General features: G+C 37.7%; 1 long non-coding RNA gene across 1 annotated transcript in view; it reads right to left on the bottom strand.

Moving 5' to 3' along the window:
• The window catches only part of LINC02745 (long intergenic non-protein coding RNA 2745), an 83,737-nt gene extending 80,273 nt beyond the window's left edge, over positions 1-3,464 (bottom strand). Inside the window, exon 1 of the long non-coding RNA NR_135065.1 lies at positions 3,395-3,464. This is a non-coding gene — a long non-coding RNA (long intergenic non-protein coding RNA 2745). The remainder of the gene's footprint in view (positions 1-3,394) is intronic.
• Positions 3,465-26,572: the final 23,108 nt, after the last annotated feature.

Below are 26,572 nucleotides of genomic sequence, written 5' to 3' on the forward strand. Positions count from 1 at the left end.
GTTATATGTTCCCAAAGTAGTATAAAATATGTATGAAGCATTTAAGACATTCCAAACGTTTCTCTTTATGGTTTGGGACCAATGTATCCATTAATTTGCTCTTTGGTCTGAGCTTTTGCCATAAAAGTCTTAGGCCAGGTAAACATCAATGTTTTCCATTTTTCTTCAATTTATTTATTTTTATTATTTTTTTTTTTAGCAAACAGTGACTGCTGGAAGCCCCTAGAAATGAATGCCAACCTAGTTTACAAAAGACAGTGATGATGTCAGTCAATATGCAGAATTGTTCAACTTCCTTTATCTTTGCAGAGCCACCTAGTGTAACTGAAATGGTTAACCTGAATAGGCCTTTAATTGGATTGAGCTATTGTGGATCCTAGAGCTAGCAATGCAGACTGAAAATAGTGTGTTCTTTGTCTTCACCAAGATAAAGTGTGCTTCAAAGGCAAAAATGAAGTTGCTTGAAGTCAGTTATTAGCTCAGCCAGATTCATTTTCAATAGCATGTCTCAGTGTGTTGCTTGTCTTCTCAAAGGTGGTCCTTTCTGGCCATTAAGAAAAAGCAGTGAAGCAACCCTCCTGTCTTCCACACAGGTTAATTGTTAAATGTAACCAAGGAGACTGTAAAAGGCTTCTAAATGGGAGAAAAAAACTCAGCCTGAATGCCTCGGATTAATCCTTGATGTCCCAGTTTTCTCACCTATAAATTGGAGAACCTAATTTCTGTTGGAACCACTGCATTGTGGTTGCTGTGAGAATTAAATGGTATAATGTCTGTGAGAGTGCTTTGCAAAGTGGAACTCCCTCTATAAATGTATGGATTATTATACTGTTTACCCTCCATAAATGTATGGATTATTATACTGTTCACTGTCATTTTTTAAAACAAATCTTCCAAATATCTTCACACCTCGAAGAAAGATTTGAAAGAGTTCCCATTCTTTTAAAATCCTCTTAGATCATTTTCCCCTTTAATTTCACTTTTGATATGAACTTACTCAATTCCGGTCCTGATAGCCATTCAAGCAGTAATCTTAGCATAGCCATCAGCAAAACTTCATAGACAACCTTGTGTAAAATTCTGTAACCTTGAAATTTTATTCCCATCTTATCTTGATAGAGACATGAATATATAAAAATTTTATCTGAAACTTAAAAATTAGTATGAAATTCCTCATTGTATCACTGTTACAGATTTTTTTGTCTGTGGAAAAAATAGGTAATTACTCTGTCCAGTTAAAATACACTTTGGCAGGTGATGAATGTTGACAGTATGCTGACTGGAGCTGAACCATAGATTATTACTGATATGTGTATGTATATTCATATCTGTGCATATGTGCATGCTCACACATGTGTATGTATGTGTGTGTGAGAGAGAAAAAAGGAAGTAAGAAATAAACATCTTGGATAAGTTAATATAGCGCATAAATTGATTTTTCAGGTACTGAGTACCTGAAATGCACTAGGCATAGAAAATATAAGAGTAAGAAATTTTCCTGGCTCTTAAGCAGCTTTTAACCTAGGGGTCAAATCAGAGAATTCCTTTGACATTTCCAGTTTCATTAAATGAGATGTTTAGATCATGTGATAAAGTTACTCAAAAAGCTAAAATGGTGAGATTCTACTTAATTTTTACATTTAAATCTTATTTAAGAGAAGAAATCTGTTATCTTAAAGACTGGATTCAGCAGACTTGACCCTCAAAGAGGGGATATTTTCATGAAGAAAAAGGGGCACTGCCCTTTTTCTTGAAAGGATCAGATTAACCAAAGGAAAATTTCAGTTCTTTGGGGCTAGAATGTGTCTTTTCCATCATTAGAAATCAGTGAGTAAATACTTTAGTGGGAAAAGAATAATAGATATAATTTTCATCCGTTTTTCCTTTAGTTATTTGTCCACCATTTATTCACAGTCCTAAATCATAGCTAGATCCAGGTGGACAACCCAGGACCCTGCCCCAGTGTGGGCCAGCCATTTGGCAGAAGTCGGTGGACAAGTTTTGGAGAGTTAATCCTTGATATATACTTAATCTTAGTTAATCTAAGACGCTTGAAGAGTATCTTGCTGATGAGGTCACTTGTTCTTTTTCTTTGCAGAATAATTAGTGTCACTTTATTCCACACCTAGGATAGTTCATCCTTTCACCTCTTAAATAAAATGTATGAGAGGCCTTCATTTTGGACTGAGGTCCTGCACTAGGCTATAAAAGACCAGATCAAAAAAGAATAGAGTAACTCCAGAATGGAGTCACTGATGCCATGTGCCAGATAATCAAAGGGAACTTAGAAAGGGGCCAGTTTAAAAACAAAAAACAGAAAACAAAAAACAAAAACAAAATAAAACAAAACAAAAAAAAACAAACAGAAGATTCACTGCAATCAATTTAAAGGGGCACAGTTAACCTGAGCCAGCATGATAAAGAAGTCGTCGCTTTCACCCTATAAGAAAAGTGACTTTCAACAATCAATCTGTTTTCTTTTCTTTATTTCTGCTTTCTTCAGCCTTTTCTGCCTGTAAAGCTCACTTCTTCTGCTCAGTTTAGTTGAGTGCCTTTCTGTAATATTTTGTAGAATGAATGCTACTGGACTTACGAATTGCTAATAAAAGCCATTTAGATCTTTAAAATTCAACTCGTTAAAATTTTGTTCCTTGACACACTCAAGGAACACACACTGCCCTTCTTCTTATGTTTTTTATCTTGGATAACTTAATCTTTATTCCAGCACTATCATTTCATGAGCAACTTTTGATTTTCCTTCTTTTCACCCTGAAATGTTTACCAAACTCTGAAATGTAATTGTTTAATTATTGCCAAATTTGACTTAATTTTCACAACATATTACATCCGAGGTTTGTCGTCTTCTACCCTCCTCACCAAGACTACTTATTTTTAAAATATATAACCCATGTATAATGAGACTGACTGGTGAAAGTGAAGATATTGATCTCAAAGCCCTGCCACTCATTCCTTTGTATCCTGTAGGTTATAGTTGGAAAACTAGCAAACCAGACGTTTTAATATCCTCCTGCTTCCATCTGATTGGCCTTTCCTCTGGATCAAGCATTCTGGATGGTTTATCAGAATTCAGAGTAAAGTATTTTATCATATCATTCTACACTTTTAAATACATTTAACATTAAACCTCAAATCTCCCCAAATCTGATGCTTCAGTCACAAGATGACTCACTCTTCTTAAAACATGTCCTATATGCTCTAACTACCAAATCATGCTGGAGGGCAAAGGCAGTGTCGCCTTCAGAATTTTTATCCTTCATAGCACCTAAAGTTCTGCATCTACTCACTTCTTACTAAATAAATGTTGCACTATCGTTTGTCATCATAATGGTCTGTATCACTAATCTATGCATTTTATTATTAAATGCATACTTACTGAATGGTCACTGTATGACAGGATTATTTCTATGTACCATAAAGAGCTTGTTCTCTAGAAATGTAAATTATCTGTTACAAGTTAGATTTTGTAAGAGAATGTGGTATGTGAAATAATGCTGTCTTTATTGGTGCAATTCTATAACCTCCATGGAAACAATATCCCATATTGTCCTAATGATATCTCTGGTGATGTGTTAAGTTTTACTTTTGCCTTCTTAAAAAGGGCAGAACTTTTTTTCAAAAAATAGTTAAATTAGTAGCTACAATTTTGGAGCACCTCTTGTGTATTAGAAACAATATACTACATACCTTATAGAGTCGTATCTTTATTCTCATTTTATGAAGGTGCAATGTAAAGGTTCAATAACTCAACATTTTGAATCCAAGGTTTGAACCTTATTCTTATTGCTCCATTCTTCTGGTGTTTCCCCACTCTACAAGCTTCCTTTTAATAGTTGTACTCTGAAGCAGCCCCTGGCGAGTACTAATTCCAGGAGAACACTTTGTTCCCCTTCCACCTCCCTTCATGTTCCCCTTCGCGGGACACCACAAGAGACCTTGAAGGTTGGGACATTGTGGGGGTTCCTCTTTTAAAATGAGAAGCTTGCTGCGAAATCTAGCATAGCAGCTGAAAGATACTAGTAAATGTTTTCCAAACAAAAATCCCTCAGTGAATCAAAGAAAAAAAGGTATAATTTTCTGTTGGTAAATGCAACATGCACAAGTTATTTGAAACAGCTGGTTCGAGTGGAAATGAATGACTTCCCCAGGGTCAAAATCTGACAGTAAGTGCTTGCTGCTTACATGTGTGGAAGAGGGAACGGGGACAGATTTTGTAACAGAGCAGAACAATTTCTCCGCCTCATCAGTTCATGAATATTTGAATGGAGAGGGTATGATTGGCAGAGCTTCTCATGGCTTTGCTTTTTATTTTTCCTCCAGCATTCTTCTTATCTAGTGAGTATCCATCATATACCTACTACAACGTAGGGATGATGCTAGGCACTGTGGCCACGGAGCTCAATGTGACACATTTCCTTGCTTCTTTGTATTATTCTTAAAATTATGGTACAACTGTATTAGGCAAAGGAGGGCAGGTGTCATTGTTTATACAGTGAGAGAGTGAAGAAATAAGGACATCTCAGCTTTCCCACTCTCTATGACTGTACTCTGTGCTACTTGAATAGAGGGATGACAGCTTTTGGAAAGAGCCCCTGAGCTGGATCTCCATATAGTTTTCCAAGGGCTTTAACTCATTTGCTGTCTTATGCAATCCAATAAATAGTTTTAAGCACCTATATGAGATGTAACCCTCTCTATTCGTGTGCATTTTCAGGTAAGGCATTTTATTCTTCTGCATCTCAGGCTATCTTTTGCTAAATGAGAACACTTAAGTACCGCAGCTAAGAAATATTTACCACAAATATTCAAAAGCTCTACATTGGTCATGATTCTGGTGAACGAGAACTCTACAGATATCAAGTATGGTAGTTGTAGCTGTTCTTATGCCTACTTTCTACAACCTTTCTCAGAGACAGTCAATTGCATGGGCCAGCAGAAATCTGATCTGTTTATGCTTACATACAAAGCTGCCAGAAAGTCAGGGTCACCGATTTCAGTTTCTGTGAATGGGACACAGTGATAACTTGGCTCTATCTAGCTGAAGAATACAAAGGTGTATACAGTCAGGCTTCATGTAATTACGGGAATGCATTCTGAGAAATGTGTCATTAGGCAATTTCAATTTTGTGTAAACATCGCAGAATGTGCTTATTCACACCTAGGTGGTATAGCCTACAATATACCTAAGTTATATGGTATAGCCTATTGCTACTAGGCTACAAAACTGTGAGGCATGGTCCTGTACTAAATATTGTAGAAAATTATCTAAATATATCTAAATATAGAAAGGGTACAGTAAAATATGATATTGTAATTTTATAGGACTCCCATCATTTATGTGGTCTGTTGTTGATAGAAACAACACCATTATGCAACATATGACTGTATAAAAAGAAACCAAAAAGGAGGAAAAGAAATCACCAATTTTGAAATCACCAAAAAGAAAGGGGGCTGAAGACTAATGTAGGAGGTAAAGAGAAAATTGAAGTAGGAGAATCCCACTTGCTAAGGACTTTATAATGCCAACATGATTCGTTCACAGATGGGAATCCAGAAAATAACACAAAATAAGCTAGAGGAGATTATAAGAAGAGACAATCACTTCTAGCACGGTGTGTAAATGAGAGGGAGGGAAGACATTCTTAGTTCAGAGCTTAGGGTGATAGTAAAGTCTCAATGAGATGGATTTGTTATTGATGATAGCCTCTAATATGTAGCAGCAGCTCCTTCAGTTTCATTAGAGTGCTGAGAAATACGTGATTTCTGAGAATGCATTGTGACACCAAGAAGCAAACTAGAATCTTGGAGGAAAATATCCAAATGCACTTTTCCTTGATCCTCTATATGCCATATATAATGCTGTCTAAAGAGTGTGTTGTTTGTTTGTTTTTTGTTTTTAAAGGAAGTTGGAAACCTGCAGTTGTTTGGAAGAAATAAGCCATGTATAGACCAGGAAATCAACTGATGACTAGGAAAGGATGGGAAAGATGATAAGGTCTCAGTTCTCATGTGGAGGAGTGGGAGATTGGAGAACTCCACATCCATTTGAAGTAAAAGAGCTGCAGATTACCTTGAGAACTGGTGGTTATTCCATTGTCTTGCCTAATTTCTGGAAAAGGGACTTATTTACAGCCAAGCATCAGTAAAGGGAAATTTATGGTAAAGACAAGCAGAGTGTATAAGATTCAAATGGTTAGAATTGCAGCCCACATTTGGCCCCCTGAAAATGGGAACAGGAAGCACAGCAATTGTAATGATGCTCCGTACATGTACTATTGTTTTCTATTTTCCAACTTCCTTAACTAACTCACTGTTTATCTTCCTCAAAACATAAGACAGCCACCCCTCCTAAACCAGCAGTGAGTAGAGATAACTTGTGATTAATTAATTTCCAAGAAACTACTAGAATGTCAATTAACCCAGAAGTATTGCAATAAATAGTAGAGTTTAATAAACAGTAGAGTTGAATTCAAATATCTCTGAAGCTGGACAATGTGAGTAGCAAATTATGATAAAAGAGGGATCAGTAGGCTGATGAACCAGTTGTGGTGTCAGTAAGAGACATAGCACTATATGTGCTCTTAGATTTCCATTGACATGTGGTGTTTGGCAATGAGTTTGTGGTTGGTGGGCAACAGGAATATGAATATAAACTTCAAGTCCCTTGAAAACTGTCCTCTAAATCTCAGAAACAAATCAGATTTTAGGAAATCCTAGGAGATTGACAATATGGGTCAACAGTTTATGACCTACTCATATATACACAGAAACTGGTACAAAGGAAGAAAGGCAAAATTATGACAAAGGTAACCCCACCGGGTTAGACATTTTAAATGATATTTGTTATAGATACATGAGGGGCTGAGCCACAACAGTCAGGGAATGTCATAATCCCTTGGGCTACCTGAGTCTATTTCTGGCCCAAATAAACCATAACAGATTGTGACTTTATACAGACTTATTCTTTACACGGGGACACAAGACATTACAAACTGTCACCAGTAGGCCAGTTCTGGTCCTTGATTTAGCTGCACAAAAGAATTTGAGAGTGAGTCAAAAGTTAGAATGAGCAAAGAAGTTTATTGCAAGGCAAAAGTATGTTCTAAGAGGAAAAGAAGGCTGCTCAAAGAGAGAGACAGCAACTAGTGCCTTAAGAGGAATTTTTTTTTATGGGAGTTTTACATACACATAAAATACTGGTGAGGTCAAGTATGCAGAGGTGAATCTGCAGTTGGCGCATGCGCTCAGAATCTTCGTGCACTAATGCACATTGCAAGTATCATTGGCGTGTAAAATCTCCACCTAGGAGTGTGTTTTTACTATTAAAATGATGAAAAGTTTGCTATACATTAACTTTGAGCCTAGCTGTGCATGTGGGATCCTGGAGAAGTCCCTTGCCCTCTCCTCCAGGAAGGAATTTGTAGCTAATAGCTTCTTGGGCTTTTAGTGCTGATTAATTGGCTGGAGATTGAGCCAATCTACATCAGGAATAAGGGGCTTTTGTTCTCTTTCCCAGGCTGTACTAGGTATCGGGAACCTGTAGCCATCTGATATTCTGCTGGTGTTCTATACAACCACTTATCTTATAAGAGAGTTAGGTGTTGATGCATGAAGGTGCAAGCTAAAAGAGCTAATTGTGAAAGGGGCCCGCTGGGCTTCACTCAAAGAGACATGTCAGTACGGCCTCCTAACTTTACTTATACTGCTTCATAACCACTATGCCCAACATTTTAAATGGGCTATGGAGGCCACAATGATTTAACTGCAGACCTAGAACATTATCATGTATTTTTTAGCTAGACCATACAGTGAACCAACGTCATGTAGACCAATGGTTTCCAAAATATGTTGCCCAAACCAGCAGACTAACCTTCACTTCTAAGCTTGTTAGAAACGTAAATCATGAGCCCATCCCAATTGAATGAATCAAAACCTCTAGCTGGAGGAGATGGAGGCAAGGATGTTTTTATATATGCTAAAGATTAAGATGCATTGATATAAAAATAGCTTTCTTAGCATTTCACTCTTCATTCAACAAGGATGTATTTTGTATAAAGCACTTTTCTGAAAACTAGACAGTCAGTGGTGAACAAGGTAGACATGGCTCTGCCTTTATGAAGCTGAGCAAACTTTAGTGGTGGAGAAAACTGTTAAGCAATGACTTTTTCAATTAATGATTTCATTGCAATTCTGGTTAATGTGGTAAAAAATAACGATTTTTGAGGTATTTGAGAACATACAATGGGAAAACAATATCTTTGGTACATCTTGGCATTGTGATGGTGTATATAAAATAAACACACAATTTTCAGATAAAAACCGTGAAGATATAATAAAATGACTTCATGTGATGCCAGTGTAACCCAGGGGATGACCTTTCATAGACAGCAAACTAAAGACGAGAAGACCTATGTGGAATTGTAATAGTGGCTCCAAGACATTTCTCACACTTAAACTCCTCTCTCTTTAAATAATATTAAGTGATTCAGTGTAGCAGATATGTGAATCTATTCTAACATCAAGGGATAAATTAACTCCTGCCTGGTGCTCAATGCAATGATTCTTAAATCGACTTGGCATTCACACATCACAACAGAAATATAAGGATGCCGGGGCTTGGTGGTTAGCACAGGACATGTGCAAAGGCACAATGGGATAGAGATTAGATTCCATCATTGAGCGAGGTACAATCCCCGCTCCTGTGGCCCCCAGTGAGCACTCCACAATTCTATCCTGTTAAGCTAAAGGAACTCTTTAGATGAGATAGATAAAGAATAATGAACTGAAATAAATTGAAATGTACTTGCCAAATATATTTTTATAGATTCATTTTTTCTATGAACCCTTCAGTTCTTCAAATGTACTATTGAAAATAGTGAAAAGAAGAGTCTTTTTTTGCATCCTGATATTTTTCTCTTTTTGGAGGGAGGGGGAATTCCTTCAAAGCTGAAATTTCCTATTCTTCCATATTCCGGGGGACTTCCTCTCTTTTGTCATCCTCTTCTATTTAGATCAACATTTCATTTTCTGTTATGTTCTATTTGATTACATACTGTATGGTGCCAGTATAATATTTTAATCATTTTTATTTTGTAACACAGTACCTGATACATGCTAGATTCTTAATAATGTTTTATTTGGCATATGAATGAATTAACACATGAATGTGTGTTGCTTAACCTACCATTCGGCAAGTTTTTAGAAAGAGTTGGAGTGGTGGAGATGAACTATTTATAAGGGTGGATTCAGACCTGGATTATGAAATGGGATTGGGATTGTGATGAATCCAAGGGATTTATTATTTTTTTAATTAGCATTGCATTGCCCTGGTGTCACCTCCTTTCTCCTCATAGCTCATAACACAATTTAAGTTAAATAATTACTGACAAGATGAATCTCCTTTTCCTCCACTAAAGTATTAGCTCCACGAGAATAGAGACAGCTTACTTTACATTGTTTTATTCCAGAAATACAGTACTCCTACAACAATGTTCTGAATCTAGAAAATTCTGAGTAAATATTAGTCGGATGATACCTTATCTTGGTTTCTTTGAGAAGTTGACACTGAGGCAAGGATTCAAGTACAAATATTTCATTTGGGAGCTGAAGGAGACATCTGTAGAAAATTTAGATAATCAAAAAAGGGAAAAAAAACAGTTAATAGAAGATATGCTATCAAGAGTGTACACTAGCCCCAACACACACCAGTTCATTTTGCTCCATTAAGGAAAGACACGGGTGGATGCTCAGCTCCCCACTGGAACCCTTTGACACAGCAATGAGGGTTCTATATTGAAGTAGAGGGCTAAGAAGCCCTGCCTCGAATTGCTTTGGTCATTCTCCTTGGTACCAGGTGGTTTTGGGGGGTTCCGCTCCCCACCAGCTCTCACTGACTACAAATATGAAAGAAAGTAGGATGCTGTCTTCCCCTGACTTGCACCCTTTGCCGCTGGGTGAGGGTGGACACTCAGCTAGCCACTGGACTCTGCTGACAACATACCCACTGACTGCTTCTGCTGAGTACTAGAAGAGAGACCAGCTCCCAGCTCAGACGCAGGTACACTACCTTCACTTGCTGGGGAAACAGAGTGCCACCCACTTGCATTGAGCCAGGGATGGAAGATTAGCTCATTGCTAGGCACCATTATCACAAGGCAGAAAAATTACAGCACTGTTGTCTGTTTTCCCCAGCTGCCGGTTGGTGGGGTGGGATATTGACAATTAAATCAGCCCTCCAGAAACCATGAGGGGTACAGGGTAATTTTCCATAGGTATTTGGACTGACTAGGCCAATATTTTGCTGAAAAGGTTTTTTGCTGTCTTAGGCCATCCCTTCTCCTGTCATTTAGCTAGGCTTAACAGGCTTTCTCAGAGCTGCTTTTGCTCTGTTGGCTGTTCTGGATTGGAGGCACCCAATATGAATATATGAGAGATAATAAGTAAACCCAGGGAATTCACCACTGTGCCACTGTGTCATTTCTCAACATCGCTAGACACCCCTCCTTCTTTGCCATTTTCCACTCTTCCAACTTCCTATGTTTATTTTTCTGTGTTATGTCACAGGTTTTTTAGTTGTAAGAAGGAGGACCTGGGACAAACGGACTATTTCGTTTGGGCCAGAACCAACAATCCCCTCAAATTATCTTTGAAGCCCAAATGATTATGGAAAACTTCAAGCATATATTCCATTGAGTTTAACACTTGTCTTCTATTTACATTATTTATTTTCCTATATGGTTAGAGAGTTAGGTGAGTGGAAAAAAAATTCTTTCATTTTAAATGATGCCACTGGTGGAAGTTCTTATACATGTTTCTCTTGCAATCTTCCTAGCTGGGATATTTTTTTTTTTATGAGGGAAGATAAAGAAAAGATATTACAGCATATTTCACATGGTAAGTTTTTTAAACTGTTCTTAATATTTTTTCTCGGTCTCTGGATTCAGGGTACACACAGGTGCCATGTACTCTATTTTTCAGCCTCATTTATTTAGAATTTAATCTCACACTCAAAATCCAAAATCACTTTCTCTTCCCAACTGCAGTGACCTAAAAAGTTTGCCTTAAATATGACTCCATAGACGTATTTATATTTAATCAAGCCTCTTTACTGACACTCCTGGCTACAGCTGCTGATTCTGTTGCTGACAAGGGCAGGAAGGACTTTGAGGAGAACGTTATGGGACCTAGCTAATTCAATGCATAAGCTTTTTTTTTTTTTTTTTTTAGAAAAACAACATCACACAGAAGTCAAATGATGATGATTTATCTATAGTATTATAGTTTCTAGCAATGTAGTATACAAAACAGAAATCCAAGAAAGAGAAAGAAATAAAAACAACCACAGCCACAAGAACACTGAAGAAAATGCATCCAGATTGTTTTAGTCTTGATTTTCTAAAGACACTCTTGTGAGTTAAACATTTATTTAGTTCTCTATAGGTTACAGGTAACATATAGAGTCAATGAGTACCCAGTGTATTTGGGTTCAAATCCTCATTGTCCCACTTACTGCATATGTAAATTTTGTCAAATCATTTAATGTGGCAGACTGTTTTCTAATCTGTAAGATGGTCATAATAACAGTGACTACTTCATAGATTGATATGAAGACAAATAATTAATAAATGTGAAGTGCAAAGAATGGTGCTTAGCAAGATATTTATGCTCCAGAAATGCTAGTTGTTTTCAGTAATCTTCGGGGCAATGATTTGCTATAATTTTGCGAACTCTGCAATTTTTTTGGAAATCTACCCCTACTTACGGAGTTATCAGAGATGTCAAAGACAAATAAATCATAGCCTGTGACACCAAAGAAGTTATTATCTATGAGAAATAAAATAAAGAGAAATGAAGAAGTAGACTAATATTGTGGAGTGAATACTATGTGCCAGTTGACAATAGTCAATACCATCCCCATTTTGCAATAAAATAAAGTAGAGGAACAAACTCAAAGTCACACAGTTAAATTCAGATATTCAAGTGCAGGTGTATCTGAAGTCACAGATTATAGAAAACTCTTTCTTTCAACATTAATTAATAACAAAATGATATGGTTTGGCAGTGTCCCCACCCAAATCTCACTGTGAATTGTAACTCCCACAATTCCCATGTGTCATGGGAGGAACCTAGTGAGAGGTGACTGAATTACGGGGGCAGGTCTTTCGTGTGCTGTTCTCATGATAGTGAATGAGTCTTATGAGATCTGATGGTTTGATAAGGGGAAACCTGTTTCACTTGGCTCTCATCATTCTCTCTCTTGCCTGCTGTGATGTAAGACATGCCTTTCATCTTGTACCATGATTGTGAGGCCTCCCCAGCCATGTGGAACTGTAAGTCCAATCAAGCCTCTTTCTTTTGTAAATTGCCCAGTCTTGGGTATGTCTTTATCAGAGGAGTGAAAATGGGCTAATGCAGTAAATTGATACTAGTAGAGTGGGACATTGCTGAAAAAATATGTGAAAATGTGGCAGTGACTTTGGATCTGGGTAACAAGCAGAGGTTGGAACACTTTGGAGGGCTCAGGAGAAGGCAGGAAAATGTGGAAAAGTTTGAAACTTCCTAGAGACTTGTTGAGTAGCTTTGACAAAAATGCTGATAGTGTTATGAACATTAAGCTCCAGGCTGAGGTGGTCTCAGATGGAGATGAGAAACTTGTTGGAAGCTGGAGCAAATGAGACTCTTGTTATGTTTTAGCAGAGACTGGTGGCATTTTCCCTTGCCCTAGAGATTTGGGGAACTTGGAACTTGAGAGAGATGATTTAGGGTATCTGGCAGAAGATATTTCTAAGCAGCAAAGCATTGAAGAAGTGACTTGGGTGCTGTTAAAGGCATTCAGTTTTATAAGGGAAGAAGAACATAAAAGTTCAGAAAATTTGCAGCCTGGCAATGCAATAGAAAAGAAAATCCTATTTTCTGAGAAGGAATTTAAGCCAGTTGCGAAATCTGCATAAGTCACAAGGAGCTGAATGTTAATCACCAAGACAATGGGGAAAATGTCTCCAGGGCACGTCTGAGATTTTTGCTGCAGCCCCTCCCATCACATGCCCAGAAGTTCGGGAGGAAAAAATGGTTTCATGGGTCAGGACCAGGGTCCCTCTGCTCTGTGCAGTCTAGGGACTTGGTTTCCTGCATCCCAGCCATTCCAGCTGTGACTAAAAGAGGCCAAGGTACTGCTTGGGCTGCTGCTTCAGAGGGTAGCCAAGCCTTGGCAACTTCCTCATGGTGTTGAGCCTACAAGTGCACAGAAGTCAAGAATTGGGATTTTGGAACATCCACCTAGATTTTGGAAGATGTATGGAAACACCTGGATTCCCAGGCAGAAGTTTGCTGCAGAGGTGGGCCCCTCAGTAAGAACCTCTGCTAGGGCAGTGCAGAAGGGAAGTGTGGGGTGGGAGCACCTACACAGAGTCCCTACTGGGGCACTGCCTGGTGGAACTGTGAGAAGAGGCCCACCATCCTCCAGACCCTAGAATGGTAGATCCTTCGACAGCTTGCACCATGCACCTGGAAAAGCCGCAGACACTCAACACCAGCCCATGAAAGTAGCTGGCAGGGAGGCTGTACCCTGCAAACCCACAGGGGTGGAGCTTCCCAAGACCATGGAAACCCACCTCTTGCACCAACATGACCTGGATGTGAGACACAGAGTTAAAGGAGATCATTTTGGAGCTTTAAGATTTGACTGCCTCACTGGATTTTGGATTGGCATGGGGCCTGTAGCCTCTTTGTTTTGGCCAATTTCTCCCATTTAGAATGGCTGTATTTACCCAATGACTATGCCCTCATTGTATCTAGGAAGTAACTAACTTGTTTTTTAATTTACAGGTTCATAGGCAGAAGGGACTTGCCTTGTCTCAGATGAGACATTGGACTGTGGACTTTTGAGTCAATGCTGAAATAAGTTAAGACGTTGGGGGATTGTTGGGATGGTGTGATTGGTTCGGAAATGTGTGGACATGAGATTTGGAAGGGGCCGGGGTGGAATGACATGGTTTGGCTGTATCATCACCAAAATCTCATCTTGAATTGTAACTCCCGCAATTCCCATGTGTCATGGGAGGAACCCAGTAAGAGGTGATTGAATTGTGTGGGCAGGTCTTTCCTGCACTGTTCTCATGATAGTGAAAGAGTCTCACGAGATCTGATGATTTGATCAGGGCAAACTCACTTTGCCTGGGTCTTATCATTCTACTCTCTTACCTGCTGTGATGTAAGACATGCCTTTCTCCTTCCACCATGATTGTGAGGCCTCCCCAGCCATGTGGAACTATAAATCCAATAAAACCTCTTTCTTTTGTAAATTGCCCAGTCTTGTATATGTCTTTATCAGCAGTGTGAAAATGGACTAATACACACAAAAAAGGATACATTATGGTCTGAAGGTGATTCCAAACTCACCATGAACCGATGTCAGTCTTACCTTGTACATGGCCAGTGTCTTGCCTGAATGACAACTCCCAGAAGAAGAAGAATTTGATCATCACAGTCTCCTCCTCTGTAAAATGAGGTGGGCAGAGGAAATATCTCTAAGGCCCATTCCCATTCTAGCAATCTGCAAACCTATAAATGTTTATGTTCTGGAACCTTATTTTTATATTATTAATGACAATTTTGGGTACTATTTGATAAACAGAAATAAAATTTAGCAGATAGGTTTGTAACCTGCTGTGAAGCAGGTTGGTGCTATTGAAGAAATTGTTTTAAAAACTTTTATAACATAAGGTAAGAAGAAACCAAATAATTATAGAGATTAGGGGTTAACTAGGAAAACCAAAAGGATGTACAGGTGTGATGTGCTTGGAGGCCCCATGAGATTCTATACTCATTTAATGACTCACTAAAACACCAAGGCATACTTAATGCATATTATCTTATTGAATCCTTACAAAATCCCTGTAAAATTGGGTTATTAAATCCCCAATTTTAAGTGACTGATGGAACCTCAAAGAGGTTAAGTAATTGCCCCCACAAGGTCATACTGCTTTACTGAGGGAATGCTGGAATTAAAATTCAAGTCTCCATGTGGCAATGTCCATTGTCCTTCTACTGTTTTAGAAAGCCTCCCAAAGTTTTCTGTGCATAACAAATGCTTTTCTTCTCATGTATTAATATAAATAACAGTACAGGTCATTACTGTTATTATTTACATAAATAAAAGTATGGGTCATTGCTATATTTATGGTAGTTATTTACAATAAGTACTGACTTTTTAACTATTCTGAACATTGAAATAAAATGCTATTTTCATTCACTGATGGAGCTGGACCTATTAAACACCAAAGCCTTTCACTGTAATTTTCTTAGAAAGTATTTTCAGGAATGGAAGAGCAAAGGGACTGACATTTTGTAATAAATTACTCTGATCCAATCACTTAACATGTCTTATTTAAACATTGCAATGTTTGGGGAAAATATTATCTTCCTTGTCTAACAGATGAAGAAGCTAAGGCTTAGAGAGTTTAAATAAGAAGCTACAGGGCCTTGTGATTCAAAAGCCCCTCTTTTACAATATTGCCTCCCAGAGCTAATTTCCAAATCAGGCTTTATTTTTCTTATGTTCCTTTAAACTTTTGGCTGGTATTTTCTTTAAGTTTTTATTTTAGTGCATCTCTAAAAGTTCAGAAATATATATTGACATTAGTAGTATAAACATAAACAGAAAGTCTATGTTGTTCAGACAGTGATCAAATCAAAGTCTCAGTACTCACATTGTTGGTGAGTGACTTATGCTTTTAATGAACATAAAGGTATATAAGTTAAGAAATTATTGATCATTTTAGGCCCTCAGTTTGCATTTGCTCAATCAGGGAATCAGTAATTTTTATGGCTGAATAACAACCAGCATTTCTGGAGTACTTGTGCCTCACCACCATGTCGAATCAGGTTAATAAGTTGTGCTGATTCTTTTATTTTTTCCCAAATAAATCTTTTTTCCCCCTTAGGGATCTTATCTTCAGCCATCTAAAATTTCTTCAAGTCAAAGAATACTCAACCCTTGACACATATGTCTAAATTTTTGTAATTTTTAAGCAAGAGCTTGATTTGCTGTATGCCATAAGCTAAATGGACAATTTGAGGCACACATTTGTCTGGAGAAAAAGTCTTGCTCTCAGCAACAGTTTAAAATGTTTCAGTGAGTAGCTATTGAAAGTGATATATTATGCAAGCAATTTCTTTGTAGTTATTTGTAGAAACAGCTCAGCTACTTAGACACAAATAAGTGGTGAAGCCAAGGTGAAGTGTTCCCCAAATTCCCATGCTGAGTTGTTTGTTCTGTCCTTTGTGCTCCCACAGCACTTCCTTCTTACTTCTGAAATAGCACTCACCAGCTTCTACTTATTTGTTTACATACAATTCTCCTGCCACATTTGACTATTAACTCTTCAAGGTCAAGGACCAAGTCTTAGTCCTCATTATACCTCGACTACCTACCACAGTGGCATATACATAATAAGAGCTCAATTATAGTCCTGAAGCGAGTGAATGAAGGAAAGAACAAAGGTCTCTATATTCTTCTCAATATTAAGATTTGTGGGGACCAAGATTGTGTGCCACCTGGATTCTCCTTCAACTTCTTGTTCTAGCTTCTGGGAATGTTGTCAGCAGCCAGACTTCAGTTCTCAACACCTGCAGAGATTGTCTCATCTGCAAAGAGCTGCCTTGCTGAAGGTCAAACTCATTTACCTGGTAGGCCATATCCACTGACTGTTCCACATAACACAATAAAGCACTTGCTAACTCATCCAAGAGGGAAGAAATTTGAAAAGCTGATCAAACTCCAGAGTTCTCTTAGGATTGTAAAGGTTGCCATTGATCCTACATATCAATATAGCATTTTCTTCTTCCCAATCCTGTTTCCCTACTTTCTCTTCCATGAATGTTGATCACAAAGACACTCCTTAGTGAACATACTGCAAATTAATCTCTGTCTTAGAATCTACTTTCCAAAGAACTCAGCTTACAATGTTTTAAGAAGTATAATTATGAACAAATATAGTAAGAATCTGCTTTAGTGTGTCACTTCCACCCTTACTTCTCCAGTGGAAATCTATGCTGATTTACAGATTACATGCCAGGAAGTGTTATGTGGTTTCACCTACATGATGTAATATAATTATTACTTCAGCCCTGCATATTAGGCATTCTGTTCTAATTCCAAACTTTATATGTGGCTCAAAGAGTTCAAGAAATATACCAAGTTCTTACAGGTCATCTGAAGCTGGAAGTTAAATTTTCTTCAAAACCTGATAATATAATAAAAGCAAAAACCAAATTGGAAGTCTGGGAGATTTTATTTTACCTTCTACACTTACTAAAAGACCACAGGCTGGCATGATATGTCACTTTTAATAGCTGTTCATTGAAATGTTCTATAGATGGTTGTTTCTCCTTTTCACTGCCTTCTCTATTTTTCTTCAAAATAGGGATTGAAAGCCAGGTGCCTAATTTGTTTGTATAAATCCTCATTGTGTTTTCAGGGATCTTAGATTGGGTTCTTTAGAAATAGAGCTTAAACTGCTGAGGTCTCTGATTCAAGTGATTTATTAGAAAAGGAGAGCAAGGAGAAGGAGAGTGGAGAGACCAGGATGGAGAAAGGAACAATGCTAAGTTAGCTTATGTTTTCAGCTGAAGATTACCTTCAGACTGATTCCAGTGTCTGGACAATAAATGTACCACAAAGTTAGTCTTTTCTGGAGGCAAGGAGGCAAACTTTTGTACCATTATGTAAGTTATTCATTGGTTATGGGTATAGCTATATGGCTATACATTGGCTCCCCCAGGTAGGTATAATCAACCAGGTACCACCTGGGAGGTGAAGGTCAATAATTCAGAGAAGGAACTATATGTGTGCCATTAACAGTGGACTCACAGCAGCAGTCATATAAGTGCACTGGTTCAGAGATGGGGACCTGTGAGAAGCATCAGAATATTCGCTACATCACTTTTATGGTCTGTATGTATTCAATGGATATTTATTCAACCAAGTTCTGGGCTTATACTACATACTAGAAAAACAGAAATGAATAAAACAAAAAGTCATGTCCTATTAGAACTTGCTTTCTAGTAGAGGGAGACAGGTAATAAATAAATAAATAAACTATTCAATATGACAATGACCATTAAGGAGTGTGAAGAAAAATACAGAAGGGAAATGGTTGACATTTTTAATAAAATAGCTAGGGAATGCTTTACTGAGAAGATGACCCTGGAGCAAAATCCTTAGAGGAGATAAGTAGACAAGTCATATGAACATTGTGAGAAGGAATCTTCCAGCAGAAAGAACTGCAGGTGCAAAGTCCTCAAGATGGGAGTTCTTTTCATTTGCAAGAAGAAACAAGGATGCCAACATAGCTGAAATAGAGAGATCTATGGAAAGAGTAATAGAGAAAAGATATGAAAGGGGTAAAGGCCGGCCAGGTAGAATCTTATAAGTTACTAAAAGTACTTGACTTTTACTTTGCATGAGATAGAAAGTCACTGGGAGGATTCTCAGTAAAAGAATGGCATCATCTGAATCATATCATGAAAATATCTGTCTGCAGGTTTGAGAAGAGGTGAATGAACAAGGAGAATAGGAACACTAGCGGGAAAGCTATTACAGTATCTAGCAGAGAGTTGTCTGTGGCTAGAATCAGAATGAGATAGTGAAGATGGGTGAGATTTTATCTGATTCTGAATATATTTTGAAGATACAGCCAACAAGACTTTTTGACTGATTATATACGTGGGATGAGAGAAGGAAGAGTGGAACATGATTCTAAACTATAATAACACTTGACCAGCAAGGTTGGTCTTAGTTTCTGATTGATGGCCAAATTCATTCGATACAATAATTTTTATAAGTATCATGTTTACTTAGCTTTAAGAAAGTATGCAGGACAAGATTTTTTTAACTTCTATTTTAAGTTCGGGGGTACAAGTGTAGGTTTGTTGCATAGGTAAACTTGTGTTACGTCAGTTTGCTGTATAGATTATTTCATCCCCCAGGTATTAAGCCTAGTACCCTGTAGTTGTTTTTCTTGATCATCTTCTTCCTCCTACCCTCCACTCTCCAAAAGGCCTCAGTATGTTCTGTTCTGGTCTACATGTCCATGTGTTCTCATCATTTAGCTCCCACTTCTAAGTGAGAACATGTGGTATTTGGTTTACTGTTCCTGTGTTATGGCAATGGCATAGCAGAAATCTTGACTTACATGAGCAATTTCTGAAATCCCCAAATCACTATATATTCCACATGCACAAGTTAATAAGGAAAGAAGCTGAGTGGGAAAGATTGATGTCGGCCCAGGAAAGCCAGTAGCTTTGAGGTCCCTTCAGTTCTTTAACTCAGTGCCCATTTTCTGGTGCTGCTGTGTCTTATAAACTCTGGTTAGTCAATCTCAATACACAATCTCAACAACTAATAACAGGTGTTTACTCCTGTACATAATAACCTTGGCTATAATCTCTGAATGTATCATACTCCTATACATTTCATGAGTTATTATAGTGGGGGAAGATTTGATCAAGATCTGGATAATCAAGTGATGGAGAAAGGCCACAGTTTGGCCACTGGCACCTATTTTTTTTATAAATGTTTGGCTCCAGCAACTGGAATAATGCAACTGTCATCTTATAGAATTAGTGACTTTGTAGGGCATATAATAATGGATATCAGGACTTCAGTTTTTGCACATATGAAGTTTAAGACACATTTTACATATCCAAGAAGAGAAGCAGAGTAGAAAATCTGATGGACAAATCAGAATTTCAGGAGGGAAGTTGGGTATAGAGACATATATTTGAGGAGCAGCAACAGATAAGTGATATTTAGATTCATGAGTCAACATGAGAACAACGAGATCCAGGAAGAGTAAATGTAGACACAGAGGTCTAACAATTGAGAATTTTAATTGTTTGGGTGATAAAAGATGACTAGAAAAAGACACTGAAATCAAGAGGCCAGTAAAATAAGAGAGAACCAAGAGTCTCTAATGCCCTATAAGCCAATGGAAGATAGCATTACAAGTGCATCAATCAACTGCATCAAATTCTGGTAATATGATAACTAAAATGAGGATTTTGGGGTTTAGTCACAAGTTAAATGCTGACATTTACAGAAACAATTCTGTGAAGTGGTATGAAGATATTGTAACAAGGACTGGAGAGATTAAAGCCAACAGGGAGGTTTTCATTTTTGTTCCTTAAGATGGGAAATCTTATTCCAGTTTGGTAAGCATGGGAAAATGAGGAAAATTAATAATGGAGGAGAGATGGGAGAGTTACTGAAATGAGGTTCTTAAACAAATAAGACAGGACGGGCCTAGTGCACAAGTGGAGGTATGGACCTCAGAGAAGAGCGCAAACAGTTCTTCCTGTTGAACAGGAGGAAAGGAATGGCAAAGATGCAGGTAGCTGGATGGAAATTTGTGGAAGTTATTTCCTTAGCTTATATCTTCTCAGTCAAATAGAATGTAAAGCAAACATCTGGGAATGAGGAGGGAAGAGGAACTGTTGGATTTTTAAGGAAAGAAGGAAAGAAGTTAACTAATCATGTAGGAGAGTGAACAGACACTGCAATGTAGTTGGGACTGCTGGACAAAACTAAGAGTCTACCAGAGATTAGTGGTCATAGTCGTTCACCTGAGAATAATGGTCTCTTGTCTTAAAGTAAGACAGGGCAGGATAGCTGTATGTTGCTTCTCCAGCTATGTTCAGGTGTGAGGCTTAACTAAGGTGTGGTAAGATAGATGTAATCCAGGTTAGAATTTTGTCAGAGTATATCCAATGATAAAATAGCCAGATAATTGTGGATGAATACAGGGAGTTTTTACAATCATGGATCACAAAATCCAAACCATTAAGGAGGAATCAACGTAAGAACACAGATAGAAAACAAAGGACATCGGAAAGGAGGTAGGGTCAAAAGACTGAAGGCACTGGCAGCATAGAAAATGTGTTAGAATCAGTTGCTCTGAGGAGCAACTTGAAAAGATGACAGGTGATGGTGTAAGTGTGGGGTGCATGAAATTTTGAGGAATTGCATTTATAGGTAGCAACTAGTCACGAGATGTGACTATGGCAGTGAGTGGTAAATGTAGGGTGGAGGACATGGTTATTGGGTCAGAGAAAGCCAACAACTGAAATTCTGAGCTAGTGGAAATAATATCTAGATGGGTGTTAACATCACCAATAGTTATGATGGGGGTAATGTTGAAGAGTAAAACAGTCAACCAAGGACTAAAATCTTCAAGGAATGAGGAGATGATTTTTGAGTATGAAGGTGAGGAGAGCAAAGCTGGTTAGTGGAAATTTTTATGAAGGTAGGAGGAAGATTGGTTTGAAAGCAGCAATTGTGAGCAGGGAGAGTACATATCCTCCCTCCACGACCAATATTTTGGCTGCAGGGAATGCAATGTCCCAGGGGAGCATGCATATTACAGATTTAATGACACCAAGACTACTTCATTCACAAGCAATTCCAAGGAAGGGAGAGCCACAGAAGACCAACATGGCAGCCAGGGCCTTCTGTTATATTGTAGATCTTTACATGTACTTCCTAACTAACTCCTTACCATCAAAGAAGAGTCACTTCCTAAAATAACATTAACTTTTCTTTTATAGTCTACCTGCCTTCCCATCTGTCCACCCACCATCGCTTTCTTTCTTTCCTTTTTTTCTTTTTTTCCTTTTCTTTCTTCCCTCCCTCCCTTCTTTACTTCCTTTCTTCCTTCCTTGTTTCTTTCTTTCCCTCTCCCTTTTTCTTCCCTTTTTTCCTCTTTATTTGTCTTTTCAAAACTTAAAATCTGGCAATTTTCCACTTATTCAGAATGAGCTAAGTCAATGGTCAGGCAATGGTCCACATTTATGAATTCCAATAGGACATCCTAAAACCACCAACCATAATAACATTGCTATGGTACAAGCAGAAACTTCTCAGCTTGGAATGAGCTCAGTAAGAAGCCGTAACAACTTACATGGCGTTGGTAAAGTTTATTGTTGTGCAAGCAATCCCACTTGGCACAGGACATCTTGATTTGTGTTAACACTCAAATGCACTAATCTTCCTAATACCCCCTATATTTATATATGACATAAATCAAATCCTGCTCAGAACTAAGTTGTTGCTGCTTTTTTTTTTCCTGCTACTCTCCTGCTAGGTGTATTTATGTTATGCTGTGTTGCGTTGCTACCCTTGCTGCAAATTTATCTGAGCTTCGACTTTTACTGCTGATTTAGCAAACATTTTATATTCTGCAATGAACTGTAAACATTTTTTCTTCTGACAGATCCATTATGACAAGTGTTATAAACTCTTCACTGCAGACTGTATCTCTTCTATTGAGCTGCTCTTTATATCAGTTTTACTATGCACAGAAAATGACGCTGGTAATATTGCACCTGTCTGAGTTCGCCTGGGATGATCAGTAAGTTCTGCAACATGGAGCATCTATATACTTAGTTTTATTACATCTGTTTCTGACTTATACAACATGTTAGTGGAAATTAAGTTTTAAGAGTAATCAGATGAGCTGAAAGTAGCCTATGAACCCCAATTTCTTTCCACTTAAAAGTTTGACTGTGTATACACATACCAAACATTTTAAAGTAGCTGATAAAGTTAGCCATTTCCTATCAGGTCTAAAACATCATAATGGGTCTACATTAAACATAGATTACATCTGAGAATAAATGCTGATCCCAAAGAAGAATAATCATGCTGTCAAGTCATGCCGTTATTCTTCCTTAGCTTTGGCGTGAGGGACTCTTTTACTTCTCTGTGGCTTTCAATGACTTGGACCATCAAAATTCTACAAAAAATTGTGATGGGAACATAAGAAAGGAAACTATGTTTTTACGGGCTGAATTGTGACTCCTTTAAACTCGTATTTTGATGTCTTAAAGCCCAGTTTTTCAAAATGTGACTCTATTTAAACGTATTGTCTTTAATGAAGTAATTAAGTTAAACTGAAGCCATTAACATAGCCCTAATACAATATTACTTTATAAAAGAAGAGATTAGAATACAAACCCACACAAAGGGAAGTCCATGTGAAAAAACAGGGAAAAGATGGGCATCTACAGGCCAAGGACGGAGGCCTCTGAAGAAACTAATGGTACTGACACTTTGGTCTCTGACTTCTAGCATCCAGAATTGTGAAAAAATATTGTTTTTCTCTAAGCCAATCAATATGTGGAACTTTGTTATGGGTGCCCTAGGAACCTAATACATCATATTTATTATGTCTAACTTTTGTAGATATTTTCATATATTATTTAATTTTCAAAATAACCCTCTAATGTTTCTACTACCATCAATTCCAGAAGATAGAGAGCTATGGTTAAATTATTTGCTTTTCCAACTCAAAATCTATGCTCCTCCTTCTCTACATGTTATCTGTTTGATATGTTCATTCCTCCACACCATTGGTGCTATAATGAAAAAATCACCTGCTATAAGCAGGTCTTCAAAGAAGTTTTCCACCTGCCAGTACTCTCCCATCTATGCTGAATGCAGCATGTGTTTAGTGAGATTTTACTTTTCAAATATAAGAACTGCCCATTTAAAAAACTGGGCACAGTGGCTCACACCTGTAATCTCAGCACTGTGGGAGGCCGAGGCGGACAGATCACCTGAGGTTGACCAGCCTGGCCAACATGGTGAAACTCCTCCTCTACTAAAAATACAAAAATCAGTGGAGTGTGGTGGTGCGCACCTGTAATCCAAGCTACTTGGAAGGCTGAGGCAGAAGAATCACTTGAACCCTGGAGGCGGAGGTTGCAGTGAGCCAAGATTGTGCCATTGCACTTCAGCCTGGGTGACAGAGCAAGACTCCATCTCCAATAAAAAAAAAAAATTAACATTCACAGAATTACCTCTAAGAACTTAAAACTAGTAATCCATATTTCATTTGAATAAGGCATTTTGTTTCACAATACTGTGTAATTTGATAGTACTTCTAGAGCTTCACTTATCTTTAATTAACTTAAAATGGAAGAAATAGCTGTTGGTTGCCTTCTGCATTTGGGGCACTACATTTGGAACAAGGGATGCAGAAGTGGATAAAGCAGACATGATTTCTGCCTTCATAGATATTTTATTATAATAAGTACACTGAATTTTGGTGGTTTTTTAATGCTTGCTTATGTTTTGCTTTATTATTATTATTATTATTTTTTAAAGCATGCCAGCTGGGCGCAGTGGCTAATGCCTGTAATCCCAGCACTTTGGGAGGCTGAGGTGGGCGGATCACCTGAGGTCGGGAGTTCGAGACCAGCCTGACCAACATGGAGAAAACCTATCTCTATTAAAAATACAAAATTAGCCAGGTGGGGTGGCACACACCTGTAATCCCAGCTACTCAGGAGGGTGAGGCAGGAGAATTGCTTGAATCCAGGAGGTGGAGGTTGCAGTGAGCCGAGATTGCACCATCACACTCCAGCCTGGGTACCAAGAATGAAAATCCATCTCCAAAAAAAAAAAAAAACAAAACAAAAACAAACAAACAAACAAAAAAAAAACATTCCTCTCCTCGTTTAAATGGAAAGCCATGAGGTCACAGACTATGTCTTGCTTGTCTTTGTGTCTCCGATGCCTGGCAAAGCTCCTGGCACATATTAAGGTCTCAATAAATACTTTTAAATTGAATTGCAATTCCAAATTTATAGCTGATGAAGATGAATGAATATCCTGTTACTTGACAGGAGTTCAAGCAACATTTTGAAAACTGCTGATGGCAGCTCAGTCTTTGTGTACAACACCAACTGTTTGGATTGTTCATAAAGCTGCACTAATGGGAAAAGGCAGTCTTAGGACCCAGATCACCAATTGTTGTCTTCATTTTCTTACTTCTCCCATTCCTATTTTTATGCCATAATGTGATTTTTATGACATGTTTATCATTGATTTTAAAATACAAATTATAGAAAACATGAATATGTGCAAAGTATAAGATGACTCATTTTTGTCTCATAACCTAGAAATAACCACTGTTACAATTTGTTTATTTATTCTTCTACTCTTCTATGCCTATAGTTATCTTCAATATATTCTTTTATGTACTGGAATTACACTCTGCAGGAAGTTATATAACCTGTCTCTTTCATAAGATATTTATTGAAAATATTGACACATATTGTTACATTTTCAAGTATGGCTGTGCGCTGTGGCTCATGCCTGTAATCCCAGCATTTTGGGAGGCCGTGCTGGTTGGATCACTTGAGGCCAGCAGTTCAAGACCAGCCTGGCCAACATGGTGAAGCCCCCAACTCTACTAAAATTACAAAAATTAGCCAGGCATGGTGGTGCATGTTTGTAATCCCAGCTGCTCAGGAGGCTGTGGCATGAGAATCACTTGAACCCAGGAGGCAGAGGTTGCAGTAAAGTGAGATCATGCCACCGTACTCCAGCCCAAGCAACAGAGTGGGGTTCTACCTCAGAAAAAACAAACAAAATAAACAAATAAATATTCAAGTATGACTTAATGGCCTTAATGGGTATATGAGTAGTATTTATTTTACACTTACTCATTCACTATATATTTACTGCTATCCAGATACTGTGGAAATTCATTCACTGTATATTTACTGCTTTCCAGATACGGTGGCAGACTTTAGAGCTACAAAGATAATAAGGCACAGACTTACTGTTTACTTAAAATTGTAAATAAATAAGTTGTAATTGTTTTAACTTAAGTTCAGGGGTACATGTGAAAGTTTGTTATATAGGTGAACTTATGTCATGAAGGTTTGTTATACAGATTATTTTGTCACCCAGGTATTCAGCCTAGTGCCCATTAGTTATTTTTCCTGATTGTCTCTCTTCTCCAACCCTCCACCCATATGCACACGTATGTTCACTGTGGCACTATTCACAATAACAAAGACATGGAATCAACCTAAATGCCTATCAATGGTAGACTGGGTGAAGAAAATATGGAACACGTATGCCATGGAATACTATGCAGCCATATAAAAGAATGAGGTCATGTCCTTTGCAGGAACACTGATGGAGCTGGAGGCCATTATCCTTAACAAACTAACACAGAAACAGAAAACCAAATACTGCATGTTCTCACTTATAGGTAGGAGTAAATGATGAGAACACATGGACACACAGAGGGAAACAACAACAGACAGTGGGAGAATTTATAATTGTATAACTTTATGAGATGTAGAATCATTTATATAAAGTGGAATAATTAAATCAACTAGTTAACACGTCCATCACCTCAAATACTTGCTATTTTATTTTTCTTTTCTTCCACAGGTGTTGATCAAATACTTGTTCTTAAAGGTTATTTTATGATCTTTGCTTATTTTCTCTCCACTGCATTGCATTATCCATTATGAATGTATTGCTTTTCTTAATATTAATTCATTTTGTTAACATTATTTATAGAATATAGCTTATGTGCTAATTTCTACTCTTTCAGTGCATTTTTTCATTCAAAAATAGGTATTGAGTATCCAATATATGGCACTCTCTATTTTAGGCAATGGTAAGATATCAGTAATTAATTAAATAAGTAATTAATTAAATAATTATTCTCTTGGAAGATAACAATGAATAAGA

This window comes from Homo sapiens, chromosome 11 (genome assembly GCF_000001405.40).
Source record: "Homo sapiens chromosome 11, GRCh38.p14 Primary Assembly".
In the NCBI taxonomy this organism is placed as follows: Eukaryota; Metazoa; Chordata; class Mammalia; order Primates; family Hominidae; genus Homo; species Homo sapiens.